Genomic DNA, 10,415 nt, shown 5'->3' on the forward strand with positions numbered 1-10,415 from the left:
GGGGTTAGCGGTGTGACAGGATGGTGTGTCCATTTCCTGTCTTGTTCTACATAGGACTAAACCAAAAGAGGAGTGAGAGTGGAATGGTTCAGAGATAAAAGCTGTCTCTGCCTCACCTAAAGCTTGAGTTACTTATTGTTAAGTGAGAAGAAATATTTAAGATACAGGTTTTTTTGAGGCTTACATTACACTTCCAGGAGGAGGCAGGTGCCACAAGGGGAAACCAGCACTGTGACCTGAGAAACATTTTTAATGCTATGTTCACATGGGGAAAATTGGAGAGGTCTGGGATTTAACCCTGTCATAAAGATTAGTCATGTGCATATAAAAACACAGCAGCCCTCACAAGGTGGGGTTTCCTCCTCACTCTTGCCTCTGGAGGAAGCCTGCCATATGACTGAAGTCAGCACTCCTTCCTTCCTGGCTAGCAGGCCCTGTGTCCTCCCCAGGTCAGGGACAGACTGTCAAATCACCAGACTCTGCGATTTTTCTGTGCAGGTGCCAGGCATCCTCAGAAATCTGAGTGCTGTCCTGCTTGCAGCTCTCACTGGCAGCCAGGGCTGCATTTGAGTTGGGAGCAGGCGAGAAGGCCCCCTTTGATTGGCATTTCCTTTATTAGCTGGGAGCCTACAAACAATCAACCCTTCCAGCATGCCAGCATTCAGTGTTTGGCCCGTGAGTGTGTCTTGGTGACCTTTATTTGCATTGGCCTGCAGATAATAGTTTCCTCAGTGAGGAGGAGGCGGGAGGAGGTAAACAGCATACATGAAGCCTAAGTATTAACTGTGAGGACTTAAGTATAGGATGTGCGGCTAGGTCTGGCAACCTCAGTTCCGCTGCCCTTTGTGAAGGGGACAGGGACTATATCATTAGCCACCCTGGCCAAGCACCACTGCAGGGGCACTTACAGGTTCAAAGATTTTAGACAGTAAATAGCCAGTGACCTTCAGAGGTCCCTAAACCAGGAGGCCACACCTGATAACTATGGAAGGAACCAAAGTCAGCAATCTAGGAGAGGTTGCCAACCGGTGGCCTGCAGACGAGTTTCATTCAACTTCAGAAAGTTTGAAAAAAAATGTAATTAGTTGTCAACATATCTCCTGCTAAATATCAGGAGACTTCGTGCTTAAAAACAAACAAACAAAACAAAAAAACACCAATTTCTGACTTCTCTTGAGAAACGAGAGGACTGTAAACCATTGGCTGGAGCTGAGTGGCAGCTGCCCCCTAATTCAGGGAACTCTGTTCTTCTCCTTGCCATAGTCCTCCCTCTCCTCTACCATTAGTTTTACTCTTTTTCCTGGATTATTCCCATCAGCATACAAACCTACTGTTAGTTCTCCTTTCTTAAAAAAGTCGACCTTTCCTTGACTTTACTTCCCCTAACAGCTGCTCCCCACTTTCTTTCTCTTCTTTGCAGCAAAAACTATTTAAAAGAGTTGTTCACACTCAGTGTCTGTTTCTCTCTCCCATTCTCTTTGCAGTCAAGCTTTGACGCCCATGGCTCCACCCAGTGCCGTGTGATGTATGTCACAGTGTGATAATCTTTGTGATCAGCCTTGTGGCTTTAAAAAGCCTGTGAGTCCCAAATGCATCTCCAGCTCAGGCCTTCCTCTGGAACTGCAGTCATAGATCCAGCTGCCTACCTGATGCCTCTTCTTGGTGACTAATTGAACTCATATATCTGGCACATCCAGACTGAACTCTTGGCCCTCCCACTTTTACCAGCCAGCTTCCATGTACCTCTCAGTATCCACTCTCCACCTTCCCCAACCTCCCTCACTTTCGGCCCTGGGAGAATGACTTGTATGTGCCCTTCTACTCTCTGGCTTCTGGTTGTCAGATCTGAAGAGAGAGGAGAGCAAGGTCAGAGTGTTTGATTCCTCAGCGTAGTCCAGGGCTGACTGCATCCCTCTATCAAAGGCAAGTCAACACAGCCATCTCCTCAGGATCCTTTCCTTTCTGAGCAGTTAGGCCTAGGGCTGGTCACTGCCTGCTGTTTACCAGCCTTGGGGTATCGTGCTCTCACTTGTGGTTTCGCTACCCCCTGCCCAAACCTTTGTAAATAGCCTCTTCATGAAACCCTCCATGAATTAACCTAATTTGAGTGTGCCATCTGTTTCCTGCTAGGACCTTGATTGTACCCCATATTGTCACCCTTTTTATTTGAAGAGGATATTTTGGAGAGTGACCACCCCTTGCATGAGGACGGTTAGCAAGGCGAACATGTGCCCATCATTTTAATGTTACACTTTGATGGAAGCTGGAGGGAAAGCAGAGCCACACAATCATTCCAATAAATACCTGTAATTAGACCTTCACCCAAGGGGACAGATAACAATTTGGAAGTAAATGCAAATGAGATGAAAGAGCATTTGCCTTAGATAATAACTCTTTTGTATAAGTCGCAGACTCGTGATTCACTCCAGCTGTGGGAATGTAAAACTGTGATTCATAGAAACCTCCAAAGAAGGCTGTGAACTGCATTCCTATGCATTTGCAGCCATTTTTGCCAAGATACATGTAATAGGGGAATATTGCCTCTCCCTACTCTGAAGAGTTGACATTGTGTTAGCTGCCAGAGACAGAGAAAACCATTATTAATTTATCTACAGACACTGACCCAAGCCACTCAGTAAACAGGATGATCAATGCAAGGATTATGTTTCATTGATGCCATTGTTTACTCTTGTTAATGCTATTTATATGCTCAGCAAAAACTCCCACAAGATCCCAGTGCTTCACAGTTTTTTAAAATCTGATTGATTATAAATGGAAGAAATATGGTAGCTCATCTACCGGGGATGGTTGGGACAGCAGAAGGGGAGACTTCCCCTCAGTGTGGAATTTTGAGGTATGCAGAGATTTTATTTCAATTTCACGTCCACTTTCTGTTCCTCTCCACTCCTCACTCCCCCAGAATTCCTTTTACTTCTGGTTTCTAGGATTTACATACAGCTTTGTTTTTCCTTTCTGCAAATCAAACAATCTGATAAATGTATTAACAGGAAGTCTTCAGAGAAAAGAGCTATGGACTTTTCCAAGGGTATTTTTGTTCTTAAAACAACAACAAAAGAAATAGTAAAGAAGCATATAAAACATACATCAAGATGAAATAAGAATTAGTTATTGTATCATTTAGAGAAGTCAAAAATTCTTTTAAAAATTCTGTTTTGAAGAAGCCCAGAAAAAGGAAAATGAAAGCAGAAAGGACAAATAATTAGAGGCAAAGATTTATGTACCAGGAGGTTTATTCTAGAATTATGCATTCTGGTAGAAGTAACAAAAATATCCTTCAATAAAGGAATAATTAAGTAAATTGTGATATATCCATATAATAGTTAAATAAGTTGTTTTACATCCATAAGCACTCATCAAATATCTTTTGTTTAATTTTATAGAAAAAATTACATGCTCTATGTAAGTTAATGGGTCATCATCAAATGTCTTTTTAAAGTATATTTGAACACATAGGAATCTGTTCAAGGCAAAATGTTAGGTGGAAAAAAGTAATACATAATACGTATACTTAATGATAGCAGAAATAATAAAAAATTGGGATGACATATTTCAAAATGCTAGCAGTGATTATCTTTGGATGATAGGATTATAGATGATCAATATTTGATTCTTTTTTTTTTTAAGACAGAGTCTTGCCCTGTCACCCAGGATGGATGCAGTGGTGTGATCTTGGCTCACTGCAACCTCTACCTCCCGGGTTCAAGCGATTCTCCTGCCTCAGCCTCCTGAGTAGCTGGGATTATAGGCGCGTGCCACCACACCTGTCTAATTTTTGTGTTTTCAGTAGAGACAGCGTTTCACCATGTTGGCCAGGCTGGTCTCGAACTCTTGACCTTGTGATCAGCCCACCTCAGACTCCCACAGTGCTGGGATTACAGGTGTGAGCCACTGCACCCAGCCTGAGTCTAAGTTTTCTATTTTATAAATTTTTTGCAATAAACATATAAACACATTAATTTTATGATTAAATGTGGAAGTTACTCTTTAAAGGAAAAGGCATTGATTTACATAAAGGAATGGTGGAATTTCAGGCTGCGAGGAGTGGGCTTTTTTTTCTCTCTCTCTTTTTAGACAGGGTTGCACTCTGTTGTCCAGGTTGGAGTGTAGTGACACAATCATACCTTATTGTAGCCTTCAACTCCTGGGCTCAAGCGATCTTCCTGCCTCAGCCTTCCAAACAGCCAGGACTACAGGCAAGCACCACTATGCCCAGCTAATTTTTTTTTTTTAATAGTAGAGATGGGATCTCAATATGTTGCCCAGACTGGTCTTGAATTCCTCCTGCTTCGGCCTCCCAGAGTATTGGGATTACAGGCATGAGCCACTGTGCCCAGCCAGTGTGGGCATTTGAATGTATATGAGAGCCTTCTATTATATTGCACATAATAGGCAATGGTAATTAACAACAGGTTTCATAGAATAATAAGTAATGAACCTTTATTGTATACTTACCATTTGCTAGGCATGATGCATTAGCACACTTTATATTCATTGTTTCTCTTTCAGTCTTTTTAACAGCACCATGTACTAGAATTATCTGAAGAGGCAAGTGAAGTTTAGAAAAGTATGTTGATTAAGTTAAAACAAGCTGTTCTAACACAAACCTGAAATCTCACAAAAGGGAAGATTATTTCTTCATCATGTAAAGGTTATTTTGTAATCGTGTAAAATTCTATTGGCAGCACCAGTGGGGATGGGGGGAGGTTTCCATTTCAGGCACTGATGGAGGCCCTGCTGTCTTTAACACATGGCTTCCAGGGCTGCCCTGGACATTCCTATCAAGCCAGCAGCCAGCACAATTGAGAGACTGGAGGCCTGTGCAGTTTCTGTGGACCAGCCCTGGTACTGGTAAAATTTCCAATCACATTTCAGTGGCAAGAGCGCAATCATGTGGTCACTCCTCACTGCAAGAAGGCTAGGAAAGAGTCTAGTTGTATCCTCAGAAGAAAAGAGAAAAGGATTTGGTAAACAGCTCACTAATTTCTGCCGTGTGAGGTATCTTACTAGAGATCACACACCCAGCAAGTGACAGAGCCAGGATTTGAATACAGTCAGTCCTGTTCTAAAGCTGACCATCTTAACCACAGGGCTATGCCTCCACATTGCAGAAGACCAAAAGTTTAAAAACTGACTCCCTTAGTTATTGGCTTATAGAGCAGCAGATTCCTCGTCTTTGGAAATGAGATATTCAACCTTTTGCTTTTACTTACTTTTAAAAAGGAAATTTTAACATTCTCTGCCAGATTGATACATTCATTATAATTGATAAGCCCACACTAACATATCATAATCACCCAAAGTCCATAGTTTACATTAGAATTTATTCTTAGGGTTGTTCATTATGAGTTTGGACAAATGTATAATGACATATATCTATCATTATAGTAACTTCTGTATTCCATCTATTCATCTTCCCCCCAACTTGATAATGGGGAGGCTATGCATGTGTGGGGGCAGGAGGTACACAGGAAATCTCTATCTTCTTCCCAATTTTGCTATGAACCTAAAACTTCTCCAGAAATATAAAGTATTTCTTTAAAAATTATCCCAAGGACATTTGTCCTTCTCAAGACTTACAAAAACTAAAATTTTAATAGAAGTTATCTACTATATTTGCTGATTTCCTCCTGCTTCAGCCTCCCAAAGTATTGGGATTGCAGTATTTAGAATTTTCTATCCATTGTTCAATAACTTCAAGTTTGAAGAATATTGCTGATAGAGCCTACTGATACATACTTATTTACATTTATTAAATACCATATGTGTAACTTTTTTAAAAAAGGTTTTACTTTATTTTTTTAAAGTCAGATTCAAAATGAAAGGAGAGGTTGAGGTATGGCCAAAGCTAAATACTCAAGGGTGGGACAAACATTCAAGAATTATAGCTAGGGTGAGCTATGTGGGGAAAAAAATGCTTTCAATTGTAATATGATAGATTTTTAAATCATGTATGCAAGATCAGTAGGCTATAAACTGATGACAAAGAAAAGTTAACACATGTTCTATCAAGAATAGTATTCAAATGAGAAATAGCAGAACAAACATAATTAAGAGGGAACTGGAAGTGAGTGAGATGCAAAACAACTGAGTGTCCAGTTCCTTGTTTGATAGAGTGAGTCACAGGACATCTGCTTCATGAAGATGGACTGGGTGCACACATTTATCTTCCATTACTCCCAAGATCCAAATAAAATAAAAAGTACCAAAAGGAATAAACCTATAACAGGGAAGAGAATGGAATTGGGGTTTACAAAAGAATGAGACATTTTAATAAGTATCTGGAAGAAGAAAAGTAGTTTAGAGTGAGTTGACAGATGAGAGGCAAGAAAAAACAATAGTCTAGCATGAGTTTCAGAGGATGAGGGAGCCACCTGCCCAGTGGAGGAAGCTTTGAGTTGAGAGACAACAGGTCCTATGGAAGGCAGATGTGAGTAGGAGAACCAAAAATGGGGACAGAGGAATGTGGGGAGGCAGGTACATATATTGAAGATTCATCTGTTGACAAATTTATCAACATTTAGCTGGGCATGGTGGCAGGTGCCTATAGTCCCAGCTACTCAGGGGGCTGAGGCACGAGAATTACTTGAACTCGAGAGACAGAGGTTACAGAGAGCTGATATCGCGCCACTGCACCCCAGCCTGGGAGGTGGAGCGAGACTCTGTCTTTACAAAAAAAAAAAAAAAAGTGTCAATATTAAAGTCAAAATGGACCTGACACAAGGTGGGATATAGAAGGGAGAAGGAAAGATGGGGAGTCAAAACGGGATATCAAATTTTGTGTAAAATGAAATAGAGATTTAAATGTTATTTTATGTTATAGTGGTTATCAATTTAAAAAACTTAAAAAAATTAAAACACTAAGAAGAGAGAGGAATGAGGTAGTATAAACAAAATCCTTGTCTTTCATATTAGGGAGTCTATTAAAATTGCTTTCATTGATAAATTAAGAAACAGCAATGTTTCTTAATTTTATCCAACAAATTATCCAGAGGAGACAACTTCCAGAAGAATAAAAATAAAAATATTAAAAGAGTTTGCCATGGATATTCCATTTACCCTGATGTGATTATTATGCACTGTATATGTATATATATGTATCACATAGTTGTGTATTAAAATATCTCAGGTACCCCATAAATATATACACCCTAAAAATAAAAACACCCGGTTACCTCTGCGCAAGTTGAAGTTGGGTTCAGTTCACACTGGACCCTCTTTCCTACTGCAGTAGTATAACCAGACATGAGTATTTTTGTTAAGCTTCGATTAAAATCTATTCTTACTACTTTAAAGGAATAAAAATAAGGAAGGTACAAGCTCTAAGCTATAATTGCCATTCTCTTAGCGTGGAAGGGGGAAAAGGAGTTAAAAACAGAAACCCAAAAAGCAAAACACTGAAAGAAATTCAATACTAAAAGCCTTTAATCTGGGGGAAACAGAGTTCACCTTTGGGTAATGCCACTAGTATTGGTACTAGTAATGCCATCATGTATTATCTTGATTAGAAGTCAGTCAGTTCAACTCTCTAGATTCTCTTACTTCATAGTACATAATATTTTCTCAGCGAGCCTATAAGAATGTGGATTTCTGGCCCTACTTCCAGATATTATAATTTGGCATTGATTACATGTGGTCCATGGGCCATGCATTAGGAACCATGGTTCTAGGCTGTGAGAAATTACATCCATGTCACTGCCAACATCATAGATGTGAGAGCATCCTCTCCCCTCCTCTCACTCTTACAGTTTTTTGAAATGTGGTGTTCAAGGCTGGCTACTCACTTCCTGGAGTTAGAAGGGTCTTCAGGGAAAGGTCTGATGACCTGTGCACAGAGATGAGCCTGAGAAGATGACTCCACCTTAGGGCCTTCCCTATGGTCCGTGGACTGAGGAGGCTTCAGTTGTAAGTCCAGAGACAGTCTTGTCTGTGACCCCAGAGAGCTGCTCCACTGCACATGACCACAGTTACTGTCCTCATTTAGAATGAGAAGGTGACTGCCACTTGGAGTAGACATTTGGATTACCCTGACACATACTCTCGTCTTCTGACAAAACCATTTAGAGAACCAAAATAAATCTAGAAATGAGCTTTGTAGATGTAGAGTTAGAGTTTATTGGATGAAGAAGGTGTTTCCAAGAGTATGACTCTGCTGGCCCACCCATCTCCACAGCATAGATATGCCTAGTAGACCAGCACTGCCCAGCTTGAGCTGCACGTCACATTCACAAAAGGAGCTTTTCAAAAGTACCAGCATGGGCTCCTCTTTAGCTTAATAGAATCAGAATCTCTGAAGATGGGGCCCAGGCGTGGGCATTTTTGTGAAACTTCCCAGGACAGCATAACATCCAGCCAGAGTGAGGATCGTGGTGTACAGGAGTCACAGGGAATGCTCACTGGGTTGTCTAGGCCTCCCTTTCCCCTAAACCACATGGGAGATAAACTAATATGTATTCCAGGGAAAGGCCTAAATGCCTTAATATAACAGGTCCAAAAACTCAATGTTGTCTGTCATAGAAGTAAAACCTTGCTTCGTGTACATAAATTCAGTTAATAATCATAGCAACCCTATGAGATAGGTACTGTTATCATCTGCATTTCATAGATGTAGAAGCTGAGAAAACAGAGATGCTAAGTAACTTGTCCAAGGTCACGCAATTGTCAAGTAGGAGAGCTGGAATATGAATTCAGGTGGCCACAGTTTGGACTCTCAAACATTCTGTTCTATTTCTTTACAGTCACTGACTCTGACAATTCCCTGCTTCTCATTTCGGCAGATGGCCTTGATTCTTACTTCTTGAGAAAAGCAAGGCAATCAGAGAGGAACTCCCTGCTTCTGCAACCACATATATCAGCCTACTGCATCCCTGACTCTATCTTCTATTTGTACGCTGGATCTCATCTCCTCTTGCCAACTCAGGGATGCTGTTCAAGCACTTAAACCGCCTCTCCTCACATCAGTTATTTCCTCAATTGGCTCTTTCTCACTAGCTGTACACATATGAGCTATTACACATTTGTTGTAACATCTTTCATGGAGAAAAATTCCTCCCTTGATTGCACATCTCTCTCTAGCTGCCACCCCGTTTTTCTTTTCTCCTATACAGCATAGTTCCTCCAAAAGAGTGGTCTGTACTTGTCTTCACTTCTTCTCCCATTCTACTCCAATCAGACTTTAGAGCTCCCCTCCCCCACTGTACGCAGGCTCATTCCAACAGTGTTTATCTGGTGCCCCACTCTGAGTCATTCTCTCCACCTATCAGCAGCATGAGTCAGTGTTAATACCCTCACCTGGAAACTCTGGGGCTCTCTCTCAGTTGTCTCCTCCTACCTACCTGGCCATCTACTGTTTCTCAGTTTCATTGCCAGTTGCCTTCACCCCTTTGTTTTCTAAGCATTGGCATGCCCTGGACCTAAGTCCTAGATTTCTTCTCTTTCTATAGTCATTCCATAGGTTTTCTTATCCAGAAAGCTGATTATACTCAAATTTATATTTTTGCATATCTTCATGACCATAGGATAGGAAAAGGTTTCTTAAACAGAACATAAAATGTACTAACCTTAAAGGGAAAGAAATAAAGTCAAACTGCATTAAAATTTAGACTGTAAATCGAGACACTCTTCACAGTGAAAAGGTAAGCTACAGAGTAGGGGATATTTATAATGCATATATCTGACAAAAGACCTGTATCTGTATAATATAAACAACTCCCACAGATAATAAGAAAAAGGTAAACAAAGCAATAGAAAAATGGATGAAGGGCTGGAACAGCCCAGATCTCCTCCTCAAACTCCAGACTTGAATGTACAACTGCATATTCATGATCTCCATTGACTAGTCATCTTATATTTAACCCACCCAGAACAATTCCTGCTGCTTCTTCTCCGTCTCAACCTGCTCCTTCTCCAGTAAATGGCAACTCCAGGTGCCAGTTACACAGGCCAAAACCTGTGGCGTCATCCTCAACTATTCTCTCTTATATCCAACCTATATTAATTATCTATTGCAACAAATATTACACTTCAGTTTCTGTGAGTCAGGAATGTGGGCATGGCTTAGCTGGATCTCAGGCTCAGGGTCTCATTTAGACTATAAATCTACAATCCCGGCATTGGCCAGGGCTAGTCACCTCAAGGTTTGATTAGGGAGGATCACTGCCAAGCTGATACATGTGGCTGCTGGCAGGCCCTGGGTTCTTGCTGGCTGTTAGCTGGAGACAACAGTTCCTTGCCGCATGGGCCTCTCCAAATGCAGATCACAGTATGGCATCTGGTCTCCCCCAGAGTGAGCCAGAGAGAGAGTGTGAGGGAGGGCAGCTAGACGGAAGTCACGTTTTATAACCTAACTCACAATTGATATACTATCACTTTTGCCATATTCCTTTCATTGGAAGTGA

At 41.1% G+C, this 10,415-nt stretch overlaps 1 annotated feature.

Moving 5' to 3' along the window:
* Positions 8,746 to 9,945: an enhancer, noted in NCBI's record as "CDK7 strongly-dependent group 2 enhancer chr14:32370891-32372090 (GRCh37/hg19 assembly coordinates)". NCBI's record gives its function as "activates an origin of replication core promoter dependent on BRD2, BRD4, P300/CBP, MED14 and CDK7 cofactors, with strong dependence on CDK7, by STARR-seq in HCT116 cells {active_cell/tissue: HCT116}" and the evidence as "EXISTENCE:reporter gene assay evidence [ECO:0000049][PMID:35650434]".

Source organism: Homo sapiens, chromosome 14 (genome assembly GCF_000001405.40).
Source record: "Homo sapiens chromosome 14, GRCh38.p14 Primary Assembly".
Taxonomy (NCBI): domain Eukaryota; kingdom Metazoa; phylum Chordata; class Mammalia; order Primates; family Hominidae; genus Homo; species Homo sapiens.